Raw genomic sequence first — 19,833 nt, forward strand, 5'->3', positions numbered from 1 at the left:
TGCTCACTGGGCTGCCACGCCTCCTGGGGCTTCCACCAGGTCAAGGTCTTGACACAGCTCAGTCCACTGCTCTGTGATGGCCATGTCATGGGTCGTGCCTGGCAGCGGTCACCCCCTCTGCTGGGCACTGGGCTGACTGCCTATCCCGAGGGCCAGCTAGGTTTGGCGCCAGAGCTGGCCAATGGAACACCGTCACCCCAGCCACTCGCAGCCACCAAGAGGTGCCGCCTGCACCTGCAGGCTCCGTCTGTCCTTGCTGCACAGCCCCTGCCTGGAGACAGCCTACACCTGTGGGGTGCCCCTCATCCCTCCACCAGAGCTCTGGTCCCCCCTGCCTTGCCGACCCAGACAGGGCAATGGGCTGGAGCTTTTCCAAGGCCTGCCCAGGACCATTTATGGACCCTCAGGGCACCCTCAGAAGCAGACACCTTCCCTTTCAGAGTTGGGGCCGCCCACAGAGAAGGGTCTCACCAGTACTTCACAGATTCAGACTTACAGAAATGCTGTGAGAATAACACAGATGCTTCCAGCACCCTTCACCTACATCCCCCCACGACCACATGCCATGTGTATGTTTTCACATTTTTTCTTTTTTTTTTTTTTTGAGAGCGGGTCTCTATTTTCCAGGCTGGAGTGCAGCCTTAACCTTCCTGGGCTCAGGTGATTCTCCCACCTCAGCCTCCTGACTATCTGGGATTACAGGCACCCACCACCACGCCTGGCTCATTTTTGTACTTTTAGTAGAGATGGGGTTTCACCGTGTTACTCAGGCTGGTCTCAAACTCTTGGGCTCAAGCCATGTGCCTGCGTCGGCCTCCCAAAGTGGTGGGATTACAAGTGTGAGCCACCGGGCCCAGCCAGCACATTCTTTATGTTTTTCTGCACCATTTGAGTCAGCTGCCCATTTTGGCTCTGGAATTTTCAGCGTGCATTTCCTCAGAACAAGGCAGCCAGTGCGGTGCTCAAACCCGGGGCTTTTGCAGGGATGCCGTCCAAGCCACCGACCCCATTCCAGCGTGTCCCACGTGTCATGGGCCAGTCTCCAAAGCCTCTGGGGGCTTAGGGATGGAGCCCGTTACTCAGGAGTGTCCCTGGCTGGGTCTGCTGGTGACCCTCATGATGAGATGCCACTCATGCTTGTGGCAGCAGCAGAGGGCACCACCCAGGGTGGCACACAGAGCCCACCTGTTCATCCCAGTGATGCCAACGTGACTACTTGGTCGAGGTCTTGTCTGCAGGATTTTCCGCTGCAAAGCTACATTCCCTTGTCATTAATTTGTCCACAGAAATGGGACCATGTTGACGCTCCATCCCTCACTGCCCTCATCCACTGCACGCTGTGTCCACCAAGGTGATTGGCTCTGTCCACTCATGGGATGTGAGTGAGGCCTCCCCTTGGCAGCAGGCCAGGACTGGGGGGGGTCCCTGAGTAGCTGAAACTTGTAGGTGCTCCCTGGGCACAGGGCTTCAGGGGCCAAGGCTTGTCTGCCCCACTGGGCAACTGTCCACCCCCTTAGCAGGACTTTGAGGACATCCCGGCGGCTGCTGGGCTCCCCGGGGGCAGGGTGGACACCCCAAACTGCTCCCTTTGTCTCCCAAGCCCCTCACTTGGACAGAGGCTCCGCTTAGTGTCCTGGCCCGTCTCTGCCATGGCCATTGAGTGTGGGGTGTGGCAGAAGGGGGCTGTCAGGGTCTCCACCAGACACTGCTCAGGCCTCCGAGATGGGCCCAGAAATACCCTGACTGCTCAACAAGTGGGTGCCCAGGTGGTGGCTCACCCCAAACTTCTGGGTGGAGGTCTCTTCCCACACTCCACTGTCTTTGGCTGCCCTGTCCCTGGCCTGAGATCTCTCAGCTGCAGGGATGGTGTCCTGCCCCTGCCCAGGCCTGGCTTGGCCATGGTGGACCCCAGGACACCCTGCGTAAGTGCACGCAGCTGCCCCTCGGTCCACAAGGCCTGGATGCCAGAGGATGGCACCCCTCTGTCCATCCCTCCCTTCACTGGGCCTGCTGCCCCAGAGTCCGTCCCTCCCTTCACTGGGCCTGCTGCCCCAGAGTCCGTCCCTCCCTTCACTGGGCCTGCTGCCCTAGACCCATCTGGGTTCCCTGGGACACTTTTCTGCTCGGAGGCTGGGAGGTCAGAGGGCACAGCAGCTTTCCAAGGATCTCACCCTATGGAAAGGTTCCTGAACCCAGGAACCCAGGACAGGGCTGTGTCCACAGGCTGTGGTGGGCAGCTCCAGTGGGAGAAACCTGACTTCTTCATCAGCCAGGGGATGACCCTTTCTTGTCCCAGGAGGTGGGAACTAGGCAGCAGTGGCCCACGGCTGGGTCTGGAGAGCGTTTTACTTTGTTTTTCTTTTTTAAAAAAGTTTATTTTTGTGAAGACCATAAGAACATTTTTAATTGTTTATTTTTGAGGCACTTTTTTTTTTTTTTTTTTCCTGAGACAAGAGTCTCACTCTGTAGCCCAGGCTGGAGTGCAGTGGCACAATCTCAGCTCACTGCAACCTCCGTTTCCCGAGTTTAAGCAATTCTTCTGCCTCAGCCTCCTAAGTAGCTGGGATTACAGGCACGTACCAACATGCCTGGCTCATTTTTGTATTTTCAGTGGAGAGGGGGTTATCACGATGTTGGCCAAGCTGGTCCTGACCTCAGGTGATCCACCCACCTCAGCCTCCCAAAGTGCTGGGATTACAGGCATGACCCACCGTGCCCGGCCTCAGAAAGCGTTTCTGATTTATGTTCTCAGGAAAGGAGGAGACGGCTGCTCACCACTATCCACCCCCCGCTTCCAGGCAGTCTCAGAAACCGAGGAGGAAACATCACATCTTTGGTGCTTCCCGTCCCTGGAGTGAGGGGCCTCAGGGACTTCACAGCCAGGGCTCAAGTCTGGGCACAATGACCTCTGAGCAGAAGAGGCTCTCCCTGACCCGCCAGGTTGTTTCCGGGTTAATGCCTGGGGAACTTGGCAAGGCGCCATCTCTACAAAAAATACAAAAGGTAGCCGGGCATGGTGGCGCCTGTAGTCCCAGCTACTCGGGAGGCTGAGGCTGGAGGATCGCTTGTGCCGGGGAGGTAGAGGCTGCAGTGAGCCGAGATCGCGCTACTGCACTGCAGCCTGGGCGACAAAGGGAGACCCTGTTTCAAAAAAGAAAAAACTGGTGCGTCGATGTGGTCGCCGCTTAGTCAGGCCATGTCTTCAGCTCTGGGGGACGGGAGGTCACTGGAGGTGTGGGGCTGCCCGTCCTGGCGTCCCTCTGTGTAAGCAGCACCTGCTCCCGGAGGCACAGCCCTGGTCGGGGCCCCTCTGGAGGAGGGTTCTTGCCGGGCTCTGCTCCTCGCCGGCGGGGCAGACGTGACGGGCTCCGCACCCGGTCTGGAGAGGGCTGCGCTGGGTCGGCGCTGACGTTACTGCTTTTACTTACGACTGTAACAGCGCTACTGAACGCAGAGCACGTATCACAAAGCTCACCCGTTCCGAGTGAGTAACTTCACCGAGAGAGGCAGGACCATCCCCACGACGGTAGGACCTTCTCGTCACCCCAGAAAGAACCACGTGCCCACTCAACCCCCGACCCCACGCCGGGGCCCGCGGACGCAGCCGCCTCGCTCGCCCACGCACCTGCGGCAGCCGGGCCCGGCAGGGACGAGGGCTCGGCGGCGCCCCCGGGAAGAGCGCGGTCCGGGCCCTGGGTCCCCGTCCAGGAGGCGCCGCTGCCGCAGTGAGCACGTCGGGCCGGGTCTTGAGCTCGCGCCGGCCGCGCTCCCCGCGTCCCGAGCTGTGGCGGCCGCGTCCCCGGGCGGAAGGCTCACGCTCGGTGACGCCGCGCTGTCCCAGAACCTCAGCGACTTTGCAGACTCACTGGTGACCCAACGGTGCGCCCCGCCGCCGCCGGGCGGAAGTCCCGCCCCTGCCCCGGAGAGGAAGTTCCGCCTCATCGAGCGCCGATTGGCCGCACCGCCTTAGAGAGGACGCGCCCGGGGCCACCCCGCCGCTCCCTCCGAGGGTTCTGCGGAAGCAGGCGGCACAGCCTGCGAGGGGCTTTCGTTTCCCGGACTCAGCCGCATCGCCTCGGCTCGGGCGCGCCTGCATCCTGCCGCCCGTCCGCGCGTTGAAGGGGCGGATACAAACAACGTGGACTTCCGAGCCCCTGATTGGCGAGCGTGTAGGAAAGGGGCGGGGTTAGCAGAGCCGTGATGGACATGCAAGCGACCCAATGGCGCCGGCGACGGGGCGGGCGAGGACAACGGCGTTGTGGGCCGGGGGCGGGGCGGCCGGCGGCTCTGGGATTTCTCTGGGAGGCAGCCGCAGGGAAGGGAATGATCTTGGTGAACTTATAATCGAACCAATGGTTCCGGGAAAGCAGGAGGCGAGTGGCCAATGGCGACGGCGATGAGGCAGGCGTCCGCTGTCTCCGCAACGCCGTGTGGGAAAGGCGGGGGAGGGGCGGTCATGACAGACGTGCAGACAGGCCAATGGCTGAGGGAAGGAGGGCGGCGGGCGACCTCTGGTGACTACGGGAAGGCAGGGCGGGGTGGTGAAGAGGCGGTGCGACCGGAGGTCTGGCGGCGCCGTGTGGAACGCCGTGAGGGCGGGGAAGTCGTGACGGACGGGCGGGTGGGCCAATGGGCTCGGGAGGGCGGGCGAAGGGTGGCCAATGGCGGCGGCGCGGCCGGGGGTGGGGCGGCGCGGCGGCCCTGGTGGTGCGGGAAGCGGCGGGGCGGCGGCGAGGCTGAGGTGCGCCCGGGCGCGGGCGGGGCGGGGCCGGCGCTGGGCTTCGGGCGCGCCCACTCGGCCGCCGTGGGGCGGACGCAACGGGCGCAGGTGCGGGGCGCGGGCTCTCTCACGCCGCGGCCTCACCCGGCGGTGCTTCGGCAGGCGGCCGGCGCGGGGCGCAGGCGGCGCGGCCATGGGCTCGCAGGGCAGTCCGGTGAAGAGCTACGACTACCTGCTCAAGTTCCTGCTGGTGGGCGACAGCGACGTGGGCAAGGGCGAGATCCTGGAGAGCCTGCAGGACGGCGCGGCAGAGTCCCCGTACGCCTACAGTAACGGTAAGGCCCGGCCCGCGGCGCGCGCTGCTACGCGGGGCCCGAGCCCGGCGAGCTGGGCACGGAGCTCGCCCTCGGCCCGGCCCTTCCAAGCGCCGCCGAACGTTCCCAGGAACGCCTTTGCCTGGCTTCCAGACTCGGTAGCTCGGTGGCTGCGGGGTGCCCGTGCTCCAGTCCCGAGGTGACGCCGGGGGGCAGGAGGACGGACCAGAGGGACGCGCCCAGCGGGGACGGTGCCATGGACCCGGGGTCTGGGGGACGGTGTCACGGGTCCGGGATCTCAGGGGAAGGTGTCATGGGTCCGGGATCTGGAGCCCAGGGGAAGGTGTCATGGGTCCTAGAGAAGGTGTCATGGGCCTGGGGAAGGTGTCATGGGTCTAGGATCATCTGGGGTCCGAGGGAAGGTGTCATGGGCTCGGGGGAAGGTGTCGTGGGCCGGAGGGAAGGTGTCATGGGTGCAGGATCTGGGGTCTGGGAGAAGGTGTCATAGGTCCGAGGGAAGGTGTCATGGGTCCAGGATCTGGGGTCCGGGGAAAGATGTCATGGTCCCGGTAGAAGGCGTCATGGGCCAAAAGGAAGGTGTCATGGGTCTAGGATCATCTGGGGTCCGAGGAAAGGTGTCATAGATCTGGGGGAAGGCATCATGGTCCTAAGGGAAGCTGTCATGGGTCTGGGATCATCTGGGGTCCGAGGGAAGGTGTCATAGATCTGGGGAAAGGTGTCATGGGTCTGGGATCTCAGGGGAAGGTGTCATGGGCCTAAGGGAAGGTGTCATGGTCTGGGATCTCAGGGGAAGGTGTCATGGGTCTAGGATCATCTGGGGTCTGAGGGAAGGTGTCATAGATCTGGGGGAAGGCATCATGGTCCTAAGGGAAGGTGTCATGGGTCTGGGATCATCTGGGGTCCGAGGGAAGGTGTTATAGATCTGGGGAAAGGTGTCATGGGCCCGGGGAAGGTGTCACGGACCCAGGTCTGGTGGCAGGTGCTGCTGGGCTGCTCTTGGGACCCTGTCTCGAGCGTGCACAGATGACAGGTCCTTATAGGCACGCTGTTCCCCTGAGGTATTTGCTTACTGCTGAGGGAGTCAACGCTTTGTGCTAGAAGAAAATACCTCTGTAATGAGTTACTGAACATTTGTTTTGTTTTGTTTTCTTTTCTTTTCTTTCTTTTTTTTTTTTTTGAGACGGAGTCTCACTCTGTCGCCAGGCTGGAGTGCAGTGGCACAATTTCAGCTCACTGCAACCTCCGCCTCCTGGGTTCAAGCGATTCCCCTGTCTCAGCCTCCCGAGTAGCTGGGACTACAGGTGTATGCCACCACGCCCGGCTAATTTTGTTGTGTGTATTTTAGTAGAGACGGGGTTTCAGCATGTCGGCCAGGATGGTCTCAATCTCCTGACCTCATGATCTGCCCACCTCGGCCTCCCAAAGTGCTGGGATTACAGACGTGAGCCACTGCGCCTGGCCTGAACGTTTGTTTTTAACTTCCAGTGGCATGGCTAAAATACACTAGATAGGTGGCATCACTGGGGCTTGCCTGCCTGAGCATGCCTCTTAATTTAGGTGGTTAACAGAGTGAGTGAGACGGTGTGGTCCTCATCCCCTCTCATGGGGGCCTGGACCCAGCCGAATGGGATGTGGCCCCAGATGAACTGGGAGCAGTCAGCATCCAGCCTCCCCAGAGTCCATCTGCGCTTCAGGGAATGCCATCTACGCTGGCGAACTTACCTCTCCTGGTCCCTGCCCTCTCCCCTTGCTTTGTTTCTTGGGCTCTTGTCCGTCCTGTCTGACTGCCCTGAGCGTCTGCTATTTGCTGAATTGTCTGCCTTTGGCTGCTGAGAGTGTGGGCGCAGCATCCCCCACTCTCTCAACTCGGGGGTTGGCAGAGCGTGGGATTACCTGGACTGAGGCTGAGCGCGCTTCCTCCTGGCATGGCTTCAGCAGTGGGCAGCAGCACCGGGGGCTCTGGAAGCTTGTGCTCCTGGCTTCAGCCTGGAGGAGGGGTTGGAAAGGGCCAGGGAGGAAGAGCTCTGTGTCCATTTTGAGGTGGGGGAAGTGTAAGGCCCACTGGGGCATTGGGGGCTCACACGTTAGGCCCCTGCACCTGCCGCCTCCTGGTCCTGCACTTGACAGTGACTGCCCCAGAATTGGTAACTCCTGACTCAGGTGGTGGGCGGCCAAGTTGATTGTGAAGGTGGCGTTGCCTTCTAAAGCTTGGCTCCAGGGGCGCTGCGCACTCCCAGGAGGCTGGCGGCGTGCGTGTTTGTGCATGTTCAGAAGAGCACGGGAAGGATTGGGTTTCATCAATCGGTGTTTTCCCAGGACATGAAGGCGTGCTTCTGAGGGCCGGCTCAGCCATGCTGGCCAGCTCGCCTACCCAACTGCACCACACAGCCAGGAGCTGGAGAGACAGGACCCTCCTTCCTCCCTGTCCCCTTCGTCGGGCTGTGGGGCATTGCCACACTTCCTCTGACATGCTCACTGAAGTGGGGCCAGTATTGTGTAAGACGTGGAGACCTGCCTGCTTGCAGAGACTTCAGAGGCTCACAGTGGCTTGGACCAGAGGCAGAGAGGAGAGTCCACTCTTAGAAAGACACCACGTGCTCTCAGGGCCCGGGGCACACTTCCAGGTCCCCGCAGGAGTCCTGTGGCCTCGAGCAGAGAAGGAAGCGCCTCTGGGCTGTGGAACGCGCTTTCTGTGTCTAAGGTCTCAAGGTTAAGACGTGCACAGCACAAGGAGCAGGTCTTTGTGGTCAGGTGGCAGCTTGCCAACCTCAGGGGCCAGCCCTCTTCATCAGGGTGAAGTTGGTGGATCTGAGGGTTTCCCAAGGGGGCTATTCAGGGTCTCAGAAGCTCAGGAGCAGCTGGTTCTCAGGACTCAGCATCTTGAGAATTTATTCTCCTTTGAAAGAGTTGTAGCAGGAGCTTTAGGCCTCTGGCCCTCGTGGGAAGGACGTACGTGTTAACCTCCATTGCTTTCTCTCCTTTGTTGGGAGGTGCCCTCTGTGTTTCCAGCTTCCGTGTTTCTTCAGGGCTGCCTGCTGGGCAGTGGGTGCCCTTGGCAGGGAGGCCCCTTCTGTGCAAGGCTTACTGCTTCAGCATGGCCCACAGCTCCTTCAGCTCACACCGGATCGCTTACCTGCCTGGAAGTCTTGTCTGGCATGTTCCTCAGACAGGTGTGTGAGCGTACATTGCCCTCTCCAGCTTCACAAACAAATGAGTCATCGAAGTGACCTTTTTCTTAGTACTGGCACCTGAGGCAGTGGCGTGTGACCACACGCCCAGCACCTGTGGGAGCCCCTGTGAGCTCTTCCGTGTCTCCTAATGTGGGTGTGCGCTGGGTTTCTGGATCTCTAGGTCTGGAAAGGCTTTCCTTTCTTTGACACCCAGCAGTGATCTTAGGGAGTGCTTCATGCTCTCTTCAGGATGGAACAGAGCGCTTTGCATAGAGTGCCCCTGGGTGATGGTGGCGAGTTACCCGGCAGGAATTATGCTTCATCCAGGAGTGTGGGTGGTGCACGCGGCGGGGAGGAGAAAGCTGCAGTTCAGGAGCGAACCTGCAGTCAGGCTCCAGGGTGTGGGCCAGGGTGGTGGGCCCGTGTTGGCCCCCAGGAACCACCCGCACAGGGTGCACACCCTTCCCCAAGCCCAGCCGCTCCCGCTCTGCAGGGGGCATCGAAGGTCCTGGATTAAGGCAGTTCCACCCTCGGCACCGTGTCCCCACAAACCTTCCTGGGAGCAAGTTTTCCTCCCGCCACGTTGGTCAGGGTGTGTGTGCCCGGGTCCTGGAAGACTTCAGAAGGGGTTAATCCTGGCTTGACTTTATTTCTCTCTCTGCTCTTTTGGGGTTCAGTGTTGGTGGAAGCTGCTGAGTGACACTCCGGTCCTTTGAGCCTGGCAAGTTGTGGGGAGAAACGGAGGGAGGCGGTTGTGGACATGGCGAGGCTAACATCACGGTTTGCTGTGGATGTTGGGGCCTGGTGGTCACTGAGATGTCTGTGGGGCCACACGCTGCCTGCTGTACCCATGGGAGCGAGGGCACCCTGTGTGGGTGTCCCAGCTTCTTCGGCTTCACGACTCCCTGAGCTTTCTCCAAACAGTTACAAACGTTTCTTCTCATCTGGCTTGAAGTTCGTGGCTCCGAAGTGGCCAATTCCAGGGGACACTATCTTGAGAGGCTCCTCCGTGTTTCATTGTCCTGATGTGTCGTCGGCTGCTTATCCCCAGGGCTAGCTGAGGGTTTCGTGGGAGGTTCTAGCTGTGTGTCTTTAGGTGACTGGACAGCCGTGCGTGGCTTCCCTGTGCCTACTGTTGGTGTTGGGCACCACTGACCACTGCAGCCCAGAGTCCCTTCTCCTCCCCTGCACTTGATTAGGTTTTGCTCGTCTTCCTTTTTTTTTTTTTTTTTTTTAGACGAAGTCTTACTCTCTTGCGCAGGCTGGAGTGCAGTGGCGCGATCTCGGCTCACTGCAACCTCTGCCTTCTGGGTTCAAGTGATTCTCCTGTCTCAGCCTCCTGAGTAGCTGGGATTACAGACGCCTGCCACCATGCGTGGCTAATTTTTGTATTTTTAGTAGAGGCAGGTTTCACCATGTTGGCTAGGCTGGTCTCAAACCCCTGACCTCAAGTGATCCACCTGCCTCGGGGGTTTTGCTCGTTTTCTGGGGCAGTGTTTTGGGGTTTGCCTTTCCTCTGTGAGGTGCCGGGTTTTCCAGCAGGGTGGTGTTGTGGGAGGAACGGGGTGTTCACCATGGCAACAGCTAATGCTGCCAGCGTGTGATGAGTGTTGCCTGCCAGCACCGGTGGGCGCTTTCCGCTGCCCCCGTGTAGCCCCCACCACCACCTGTGAGAAGGCAGCACCACCCCCACTGTGCAGACGAGGGATTGAGGCTCAGGAGGCGGCAGCTGTAGGGGTGGGCTTGGGGTCCGGGAGGAGCCGCCCTGCAGGCCTCCTGTGAAGCAGCGGGCTTCATGGCTCTTCCCCTGTCCTCCTCACGTCCACCTGGGCCTGGGGACGGCTGCCACACACCTGCTTCTGCTGCACCGCGCACACTAAGTTCTCCTGAGACCCAAGCCTCAGAGGACCGCCTCAGGCCCGGGATGACCCTGGCTGGCATCTGAGAACCCATGTGGTCAGGAGGTAGGACTTCTGTGGGTCATTATAACTTTTTTCTTCTTTTTTTTTTTTTTTTTGAGACGGAGTCTAACTCTGTTGCCCAGGCCGGAGTGCAGTGGCACGGTCTCGGCTCACTGCAAGCTCCACCTCCCGGGTTCAAGTGATTCTACTGCCTCAGCCTCCCGAGTAGCTGGGATTACAGCCACCTGCCACCACACCCAGCTAATTTTTGTATTTGTAGTAGAGATGGGGTTTCACTGTGTTGGCCAGGCTGGTCTTGAACTGCTGACCTTGTGATCCACCCTCCTCGGCCTCCCAAAGTGCTGGGATTACAAGGGTGAGCCACTGTGCCTGGCCTCTAATTGTGCTGTTTTATAAGTTGGACTGGCATGGCCTTACTTAAATTTTCAGGAAACTGTTGAGTCAGTAGGTAGAATATTGAATGTTAAGTTTGTCCAGAGGCCAGATGCCAGAACTTTTGGACAAGTGAGTTAATGTCCACCTCCAGTCCTTAGCACTTGCTCTAAGCGCTCACAGGCAACAGGGCAAATGCTTGCATGGCAGGTGCACGGCAGTGCCAGCCAGGTCTCTCGCAGGGTGGTGTGGACACAGATGACTCGTGTCGAGCACACGTGTTGTGGCCTGCACGATGAGCTAAATTGAACAGTGTTTCAGGAAGGAAGCCACATCGGGGAGCTGAGAGGTGGGCGGGAAGGACACAAGGGAGGGATCTGGGTCCTCGCAGGTACTTTTGCCTCTTGTTCTATTTGAAGATTGCAGCTGAGAAGGCGCGAAGCTGCTGGTCCCTGAAAAGCTGCCGCCTACCCTGGTCTGGAGCCCCTGCGAGCTGGCGTAGAGCAGGAAGGGGTTGCATCACAGCTGAGTCCTCCCCTGCGCAGCACATGGTACGATGCCACCCCACCGAGGGCCGTTCTGGGGCCCAGGGGCCACGTCAGCCAGGGTGTCATCCGCCGGGCGTTTGGAGTAAGCAGGGAAAGGTGTCGGCGTCCAGCATCCTGGTGCGGAGAACGCTGCCGAACCACTGTGAGAAGGCGGGGAGACTGCTTGTCAGGCTGAGCTGACTTCCTGGGCGGTCGGGAGAAGGATGTGCAGACTGTGGAACTGGCGGGTGTCAGGGACCAGAAGTTACGAAGGCGGTGGGAAGAGGAGCAGCTGTGGGAAGAAGGACTGGCTGCCAAGACCATGGGCTGTGGGCATCCTCAGGGCAGGAGCTGGGTGGAAGAGGGGCCTCTTCAGTCCTCTTGGCAGTGAAGGTAAACAGATGTCAGCAGGGTGGACTCGCACTTTGAGCCTAAGGTAGCGAGGAGGCTTCTGAGCCGACCTGGGGATGGCGGCGCACTCTGATACAGGCAGTGCGCGGCTGTCTCGTGCTGAGATCAGGATTTTGAGTAAAGCAGAGATTTCTGGACGTTTGTCCTTCAGAAATTAGCGGAGGGACAAGGGCATTGGCGCTGTGGAGAGGTAGGGACCCATGGGTATGGGGCGGAAGACCAGGGCACGACCAGACACCGCCAGGGTGCTGCACATGTAGGTAGCAGGGGGAGGTGGTCCAGGCAAGATGGGATGGGAGGGGCTCAGGAGCAGCCAGGTTCTAGTGCTGGTGATGAGGTGGGTGGTGGCAGGGGCATGTGGAAGGGTCTTCTGACCATGGCTTACAGAGGGCTTGGTGCTGGGGGGCCTGGAGTTGTGGAAAGGGTGAAGGGAAGAGTTGGTCCCATATTCCCAGATGGCAGAGTGGAAACAGAAGCACTCGGCCCCTGAGCAGCCTTCGCCGTCTTTACAGTGAACACAGTCCTCAAACCAAACTGGGAAGGATTCGAATCCTGGATGGGTGATGTGGTCCTGGCTGTGTAAACTGACCCTGATGAAAGACATGCCCATCCTGTGAGAGGGACAGCCATCTAGCATCTTTTTTTTTTTTTTAATTTTTATTTTTTGAGACAGAGTCTTGCTCCGTTACCCAGGGTGTAGTTCGATGGCACTATCTTGGCTCGCTGCAACCTCTTGAGCCTCATGGGTTCAAGCGATTCTCCTGCCTTGGCCTCCTGAGTAGCTGGGATTACAGGCATGCACCACCACACCTGGCTAATTTTTTACATTTTTAGTAGAGACAGAGGTTTTGCTGTGTTGGCCAGGCTGGTCTTGAACTTCTGACTTCAAGCAATCCGCCCGCCTCAGCTTCCCAAAGTTGGTGGAATTACAGGCATGAGCCACTGTGCCCAGCCCAGCTCAGCATCTTTGGAAAAGAGCAGAGGGCTGGGCACGGTGGCTCACACCTGCAATCTCAGCACCTTGGGAGGCCGAGGTAGGCGGAGTGCTGGAGCCCAGGAGTTTGAGGCCAGCCTGGGCAACACAGTGAGACCCCATCTCTACAAAAAAAAAAAAAAAAAAAAAAAAAAAGGCCGGGTGCAGTGGCTCACACCTGTAATTCCAGCACTTTGGGAGGCCAAGGTGGGTGAATCACGAGGTCAAGAGATTGAGACCATCCTGGCCAACATGATGAAACCCCGTCTCTACTAAAAATACAAAAATTGGCCAGGCATGGTGGCTCACGCTTGTAATCCCAGCACTTTGGGAGGCCAAGGCAGGTGGATCACGAGGTCAGGAGATCAAGACCATCCTGGCTAACATGGTGAAACCCTGTCTCTATAAAAATACAAAAAATTAGCTGGGCATGGTGGCGGGCACCTGTAGTCCCAGCTACTTGGGAGGCTGAGGTACGAGAATGGCGTGAATCCAGGAGGCAGAGCTTGCAGTGAGCCGAGATCACGCCACTGACTCCAGCCTGGGTGACAGAGCGAGACTCCACCTCAAAAAAAAAAAAAAATACAAATACAAATACAAAAATTAGCCGGGCGTGGTGGCGCATACCTGTAGCCCCAACTACTTGGGAGGCTGAGGCAGGAGAATTGCTTGAACCTGGGTGGCGGAGGTTGCAGAGAGCTGAGATTGTGCCACTGCACTCCAGCTTGGTGACAGAGCGAGACTCTGTCTCACAAAAAAAAAAAAAAAAAAAGAAAAAAGAAAATTAGCTGGGTGTGGTGGTGCACGTCTGTAGTCCCAATTACTTGGGAGGCTGAGGTGGGAAACTCACTGGAGCCTGGGAGGTGGTGGCTGCAGTGAGTCTGACTGTTGCACTACGTTCCAGCCTGGGTGACAGAGTGAGACCCTGTCTCAAAAAATAAAAAATAAAGAAAAGAGGATGGAAGAAGAGAAGAGCTGAGTCCTGGAAATGGGCAGGTACTTTACAGTTTGTACAGCGGCCGGATGTAAGAACCTCATGTCAACCCTGAGTGAAGGTGTAGGCCGGGCGGTCAAGCACAGCACTCTCCAGCAGCTCCAGCAGCGTGGGTAACCCGGTGGGAGCCTGTGTGCTGCTTTCCCTGCCCGGGGCCGGCGGCTGCTGCTGGGCTTTCGCCTGACTTCCTGGTCAGCAACGTTGTCGGCCACCTGGGCACAGCAGGTACAGCCTGTGTGTCAGACCTAGCTGGGAGGGGCGGTAATAGGGTAGATGACATCAGGATTCAGGACTCTGAACACAAACACAGTGACACTGATCAGGGTTGCCGAGGTGCTGTGTTTCGGTCCAGAAAGTCACTGCTGCAGGGGAGGGGAGTATGGTCACAGCCCAGGCCCCGGCCCCGGCCGAAGCTGCCACTGACAGGAGACCCTTCTCTGCCTGTGCCACCAGCTTTGCTCCGAGGGGTGTCTGTGTCCTCAGGCTCTGCCAAGGCAGTGTCAGGCTGATGCCTGCCCGTGTCGGCCGGCCACAGCCCTAGTGGCTGCCCGCAGAGTCTTGCGCCCACCTGATTCCTGCCTGAGAGGAGCCGCCAGGTCAGCTGATGCCAGCAGGACCCACTTCACCAGGTCAGCAAGGAGGAGGCAGCTTCCCTTGGGGCCACGCCGTGCCTCCTCCGTGTGCGCTGCTGCCATGGCTGCTTCTGTCGATAGGCATGTACGTGAAAATGCACACCCGTGGGTGTTCGCTACTGTCAGCGTGGATTCAGCAAGGTTTTGTTCCCTCGTGGCATCAGTCAGCGTGGATTCAGCAAGGTTTTGTTACCTCGTGGCATTAATCAGCGTGGATTCAGCAAGGTTTTGTTCCCTTGTGGCATCAGTCAGCGTGGATTCGCAAGGTTTTGTTCCCTCGTGGCATCAGTCAGCGTGGATTCGCAAGGTTTTGTTCCCTCGTGGCATCAGTCAGCGTGGATTCGCAAGGTTTTGTTCCCTCGTGGCATCAGTCAGCGTGGATTCGCAAGGTTTTGTTCCCTCGTGGCATCAGTCAGCGTGGATTCGCAAGGTTTTGTTCCCTCGTGGCATCAGTCAGCGTGGATTCGCAAGGTTTTGTTCCCTCGTGGCATCAGTCAGCGTGGATTCGCAAGGTTTTGTTCCCTCGTGGCATCAGTCAGCGTGGATTCGCAAGGTTTTGTTCCCTCGTGGCATCAGTCAGCGTGGATTCGCAAGGTTTTGTTCCCTCGTGGCATCAGTCAGCGTGGATTTGCAAAGTTTTGTTCCCTTGTGGCATCATACTCCTTTCCTGTTTGGTTTGGGACTCCCATGGCCCCCTTGATGTTGGAGCCTCTTCAGGTGGCACCTGCGTCCTGGGCTATGCCCTGAGTTCCCGGAGCTCCCTGTGTCCTGGAACAGTCTGTACTTCCAGCAGATGTGGGTCCTGCCTGCCCTGGAAACGGCCATCTCTCTGAAGAGCCTGTGTCCTCCTGGTGGGGAGGGATAGCTAGTATGTCAGCTTCTTAAATTACTTTATTAAAAATTGAGTATATGCAAAATAGTAGTCATAATAATAGTAATAGTAGCAAGTGCAAAGTGTAAGTAATAGAAATGGATGTCACCTAACCTGCCGAGTTTAAAACATTGTTGTTGGACTTTTTTAAAGAGCTTTGGTGCCGGATGGGCACGGTGGCTCACGCCTGTGATCCCAGCACTTTGGGAGGCCGAGGCGGGCGGATCACAAGGTCAAGAGATCAAGACCGTTCTGACCAACATGGTGAAACCCCGTCTCTACTAAAAATTCAAAAATTAGCTTGGCCTGGTGGCATGCACCTGTATTCCCAGCTACTCAGCAGGCTGAGGCAGGAGAATCGCTTGAACCTGGGGAGGCGGAGGTTGCAGTGAGCCGAGTTTGCACCACTACACTCCAGCCTGGGCGACAGAGTGAGACTCCATCTCAAAAAAATAAAAATAAGAGCTTTGGTGCCTACGTGCGTCACACAGACAGTTTAACACATAATTCATTATCAGCAAGCGGTGACTGCCCAGGTTTTGCCTGTGGGGAAACAGAAAGGTTTTGACTCCAGTCTCTGTCTTCTGAAGAGCTGGCAGTCACAACTGTGGCAGAGCCTGGTGTGTGGCAGCTGCGTGAGGCTCTCCTGGACTGCTGTGGAGGAAGGGGCCCTCTGGCACCCCAGGAGCAGCCTGCCCCTCTGTCTGCCTCTGCATTTAGACCCTTAGCCTCCTTGCAGAGCCACCTCCTGGTCATTAGCGTTAAAGCTCTTCTCTCCTGATGTAGTTTTCCTCACCGTTCAGTAAATGGGCCTGCTGCTTGTGTTTGGAACAGAGATAGAAGCTGTAGCTCCCACGTGTGTGTGGAGCTGGTTTGACTTTTAAAAAATTGTAGTACCAAAAACTATGATTTTTTGTGTGTTATCCACACCATCAAGGCTGTATCACCGAGTATCTGCTCATTCTGAAAGTGTGCATCCTTTCTGAATTGAAATGAAAGAGCAGGAGAAACCGTCTGTGTCCAGCCTGTTAGAGGTGTTACATTTGCCCTAGGTGGGCTGGGCAGAAGGCTGTTCTGCTCGGGAGCAACAGTGTCCACACGTCAGTTTCCAGAGCCCGGGTCGCCAGGATCCGGCTCAGAGTGTGAGTTTGCTCAGGTGTGTGCTGAGCACCCCTGGGTGCCAGACTCCGGGCAGGTCCCCGCCGCAGCCGCGTCAGCAGAGCAATGTGATCGTTGCTGGGACTGTTCCCCTAGTCTCAGTCAGTTCACTAGGGCCATGCATGCAGTGTTCAGACAGGAGATTCTCATGAAAAATAGAATTGTTATCCTAAAATTACATGAGAGGGAATGCTTATAAGTTTATCAAATAGTAAAACATCACAACACAGGACCGGGTGCGGTGGTGCACGCCTATAATCCCAGCTACTTGGGAAGTCAAGGCAGGCGATCCCCTGAGGCCGGGGGTTCAGACTAGGCAACGTAGCAAGGCCCTATCCCTGCAAAAAAAAGTAAAAAAAAAAAAAAAAAAAAAAAAAAAAAAGGCCGGATGCGGTGGCTCACGCCTGTAATCCCAGCACTTTGGGAGGCCGAGGTGGGTGGATCACGAGGTCAGGAGATTGGGACCATCCTGGCCAGCATGGTGAAACTCCGTCTCTACTGAAAATATAAAAGTTAGCGGGGTGTGGTGTCGGGCACCTGTAATCCCAGCTACTCAGGAGGCTGAGGCAAGAGAATCGCTTCAACCCAGGAGGCAGAGGTTGCAGTGAGCCGAGATTGCACCACTGCACTCCAGCCTGGGCAACAGCTCTCAAAACAAAACAAAAAACTACTGATTTGGAGGCACATTTAATGATTATTCAATGAAGTGTATATGCTTGATATCTTAAGTATGTAAAATAATTGTGGAATGAAATATATGACAACATTAGCAGTGGTCATCTCTGTTTTTTTTTTTTTGGTTTTGTTTTTTTTTATTAGAGAGACAGTTTCACTCTTCCAGGCTGGAGTGCAGTGATCATAGTTCACTGCAGCCTCAAATTCCAGGGTTCTAGTGATCCTCCCGCCTCAGCCTCTCAAGTAGCTAAGACCATAGGCATGCACCACAACACCTGGCTAATTTTTTAATAAATTATTTTTTTATTTTTGAGACAAAGTCTTGCTCTTGTCCACCAGGCTGGAGTGTGATGGCACGATCTTGGCTCACTGCAACGTCTGCCTCCTGGGTTCAAGCCTCTTGCCTCAGCCCCCCGAGTAGCTGGGATTACAGGCACCTGCCACCACGCCCGGCTAGTTTTTTGGTATTTTTTTAGTAGAGATGAGGTTTCACCATGTCGGCCAGGCTGGTCTCGAGTTCCTGACCTCAAGTGATCCACCCACCTCGGCCTCCCAAAGTGCTGGGATTACAGGCGTGAGCCACTGTGCCTGGCCAATAAATTATTTTTTGTAGAATTGAGGTCTTGCCATGTTGCCTAGGCTAGTGGTCTTGAACTCCTGGGCTCAAGTGATTCTCTCACCTTGGCCTCCCAAAGTGTCGAGATGACAGGTGTTAGCCACCAAGCACAGCCAGAAATGAGTCTTAAAGTGGACATGAGATTGGGGTTTAAGCCACACTAAGCTGGATTTGTAATCATTGAAAGTAATCTGAGAGCTATGGGATCTGCTCCTTAAAAGATGGGAGAGGAGAATTTTAAGAGATAGGGTCTCACTGTGTTGCCCAGGCTGGTCTTGAACCGTGGCGCTGAAGCAATCCTCCTGCCTCAGCCTCCTGAGTAGCTGGGGCCAGACCTGTGTTTTTTGTTTTCTTAATGTTCTGTGTTTAGCCAGGTGTTCTGTGCCAAGTGTGCCTGCTCTTTGTAGACACGAGAGCCCTTTTGGCTTGTTGTGGGTTTTAAGGCGTTAAGTAAAAGCTCTAGCTTCGCAGGAAACCAGTCCACAAACTGCCCTAGAATTTCTTCTGACATTTGGCATGCTGGTGTACACAGACACATTTGAAATTTGTTAGATAACTTTTCCTTCCTTTACTGTCCTCCATCAGGCAGGCGCCGGTTTGCCTGCAGTGGGGTTGGTGGACGTGGGCTGTCCTTGTCTCAGAAGACATCCGAGGGGAGTGGTATGCCGGAAGATTGAATGCGGAGCGCCGGCCCCGCACGTGAATGACTTAGAGCCCCAGGTCTTCAGGGACAGGCAGTGCCTTCACATCTGGCTCTGATATGTGTTCAGGCTGTCTTGTAGGGTAATCCGGTCCCCTAATCCTTAGACCTCCAAATTCAAAGCAGATCAATGCCCTGTGGGTTTAATTTTTTTAAATCAATTTTATTGAGAGATGATGTCTATTTAATAAATGTACCCTCTTTGCATGTACAGTTCTATGAGTTTTGGCACATATATGTACCTATGCAGCCAGTACCCTCATCCAAATCAGGAGCACATCCACTCTCCTCCCAGAAAGCCCCTCAGGCCCTGCCGAGTCAGCCCCCAGCCCCCAGCAGTCGGCTTCCATCACATGGGCTGCTTTTTCCTGTTCCAGACATCATGGATACGAAGCAGACCCTGGTTTCTTTTGCTCAGCAGTTTTGAAACTTATTCATGATGTACAATAGTAGATTCTTCTTTTTTTGTTCCCAAGTGGTATTCCTTTGCACAAATATACCCCAGTTTGTTTATGCATTTACCTTGTTGATGCACATTTGGGTTATTTCCTGGTTTGGGGTATTACGAATAATGCTGATGTGAACGAGTTCTTCTTTTTTCTTTTTCTTTTTTTTTTTTTTGAGACTCTCGTTCTGTTGCCCCAGCTGGAGTGCAGTGGTATGATCTCAGCTCACTGCAGCCTCTACCTCTTGGGCTCAACTGATCCTCCCACCTAGCAGCTCCCTAGCAGCTGGGACTACAGGCATGTACCACCACACCCGGCTCAGAGCTAGTTCTTTTAAATTTTTTTTTTTAATTATTTTTCTTGTAAAATACAGAAAACACGTCATTTTAGCCATATGTAGGGATACAGTTCAGTGGCACTAGCACTAAACTATAACACAAATACGCACGAGGCCTTCTGAAGGTGTTTCTCTAGAATACACGTGAATCCTTCTGAAGGTGTTTCTCTAGAATACACGAGTCCTTCTGAAGGTGTTTCTCTAGAATATATGTGAGTCCTTCTGAAGGTGTTTCTCTAGAATACACGTGAGTCCTTCTGAGGGTGTTTCTCTAGAATACACGTGAGTCTTTCTGAAGGTGTTTCTCTAGAATATATGTGAGTCTTTCTGAAGGTGTTTCTCTAGAATACACGTGAGTCCTTCTGAAGGTGTTTCTCTAGAATATATGTGAGTCTTTCTGAAGGTGTTTCTGTTCCCTTAGGTAGATCTAAGAGTGGAATTGCTGTCATATATGAGTGTACGTTTTAATTTATAAGCTTGCCCAGCCTGGGCAACATAGTGAGAACTCGTTGCTATAAACATATTGAAAAATTAGCCTGGGGCTGGGTGTGGTGGCTCATGCCTGTAGTCTCAGCACTTTGGGAGGCCGAGGCAGGCAGATCACTTGAGGTCAGGAGTTTGAGACCAGCCTGGCCAACATGGTGAAACCGTATCTCTACTAAAAATACAAAGTTAGCCTGGTGTGGTGGTGGTGCTTGTGGTCCCAGTTACTTGGGAGGCTGAGGCAGGACAATCACTTGAACCCGGGAGGCGGAGGTTGGAGTGAGCTGAGATCATGCCACTGCACTCCAGCCTGGGCGACAGAGTGAGACTTTGTCTCAAAAAAATAAATAAATTAGCCTGGTGTGGTGACGCACACTTGTAATAGTCTTAGCTACTCAGGAGGCTGAGGCAGGAGGATCGTGTGAGCCCTGGAGTTGGAGGCTGCAGCGAGCCGTGATTGTTCCGCTGCACTCCAGCCTGAGCAGCACAGT

General features: G+C 56.0%; 1 protein-coding gene across 5 annotated transcripts in view, besides 9 other annotated features; it reads left to right on the forward strand.

Annotated features, from left to right (window-relative positions):
• Positions 3,009-3,208: an enhancer, noted in NCBI's record as "active region_10207". NCBI's record gives its function as "activates an Ori minimal core promoter by ATAC-STARR-seq in GM12878 lymphoblastoid cells {active_cell/tissue: GM12878}" and the evidence as "EXISTENCE:reporter gene assay evidence [ECO:0000049][PMID:35858748]".
• Positions 3,331-4,204: an enhancer, noted in NCBI's record as "NANOG-H3K27ac-H3K4me1 hESC enhancer chr16:638709-639582 (GRCh37/hg19 assembly coordinates)". NCBI's record gives its function as "activates a minimal SCP1, AML or CMV promoter by ChIP-STARR-seq in naive and primed H9 embryonic stem cells {active_cell/tissue: H9 hESC(naive and primed)}" and the evidence as "EXISTENCE:reporter gene assay evidence [ECO:0000049][PMID:30033119]".
• Positions 3,331-4,238: a biological region, named in NCBI's record as "NANOG-H3K27ac-H3K4me1 hESC enhancer GRCh37_chr16:638709-639582".
• Positions 3,549-3,858: a silencer, noted in NCBI's record as "silent region_6922". NCBI's record gives its function as "represses an Ori minimal core promoter by ATAC-STARR-seq in GM12878 lymphoblastoid cells {active_cell/tissue: GM12878}" and the evidence as "EXISTENCE:reporter gene assay evidence [ECO:0000049][PMID:35858748]".
• Positions 3,979-19,833, forward strand: part of RAB40C (RAB40C, member RAS oncogene family) — a 39,912-nt gene continuing 24,057 nt past the window's right edge. For 2 of the 5 annotated variants that reach the window (NM_001172665.2, NM_001172666.2), the window contains exons 1-2: positions 4,688-4,741; positions 4,883-5,055. In NM_001172665.2, coding sequence (NP_001166136.1) covers positions 4,914-5,055 — 142 coding nt within the window. In that variant the 5' untranslated portion in view covers positions 4,688-4,741; positions 4,883-4,913. Of the gene's footprint in view, positions 4,170-4,290; positions 4,374-4,687; positions 5,056-19,833 lie in introns of those variants that run through there. The other 3 variants (NM_001172663.2, NM_001172664.2, NM_021168.5) reach the window with 3 other exon arrangements.
• Positions 4,179-4,238: a silencer, noted in NCBI's record as "silent region_6923". NCBI's record gives its function as "represses an Ori minimal core promoter by ATAC-STARR-seq in GM12878 lymphoblastoid cells {active_cell/tissue: GM12878}" and the evidence as "EXISTENCE:reporter gene assay evidence [ECO:0000049][PMID:35858748]".
• Positions 4,249-4,298: a silencer, noted in NCBI's record as "silent region_6924". NCBI's record gives its function as "represses an Ori minimal core promoter by ATAC-STARR-seq in GM12878 lymphoblastoid cells {active_cell/tissue: GM12878}" and the evidence as "EXISTENCE:reporter gene assay evidence [ECO:0000049][PMID:35858748]".
• Positions 4,369-4,488: a silencer, noted in NCBI's record as "silent region_6925". NCBI's record gives its function as "represses an Ori minimal core promoter by ATAC-STARR-seq in GM12878 lymphoblastoid cells {active_cell/tissue: GM12878}" and the evidence as "EXISTENCE:reporter gene assay evidence [ECO:0000049][PMID:35858748]".
• Positions 4,579-4,898: a silencer, noted in NCBI's record as "silent region_6926". NCBI's record gives its function as "represses an Ori minimal core promoter by ATAC-STARR-seq in GM12878 lymphoblastoid cells {active_cell/tissue: GM12878}" and the evidence as "EXISTENCE:reporter gene assay evidence [ECO:0000049][PMID:35858748]".
• Positions 14,203-14,704: an enhancer, noted in NCBI's record as "OCT4 hESC enhancer chr16:649581-650082 (GRCh37/hg19 assembly coordinates)". NCBI's record gives its function as "activates a minimal SCP1, AML or CMV promoter by ChIP-STARR-seq in primed H9 embryonic stem cells {active_cell/tissue: H9 hESC(primed)}" and the evidence as "EXISTENCE:reporter gene assay evidence [ECO:0000049][PMID:30033119]".

The sequence above is a fragment of the Homo sapiens genome, chromosome 16 (assembly GCF_000001405.40).
Source record: "Homo sapiens chromosome 16, GRCh38.p14 Primary Assembly".
Lineage (NCBI taxonomy): Eukaryota > Metazoa > Chordata > Mammalia > Primates > Hominidae > Homo > Homo sapiens.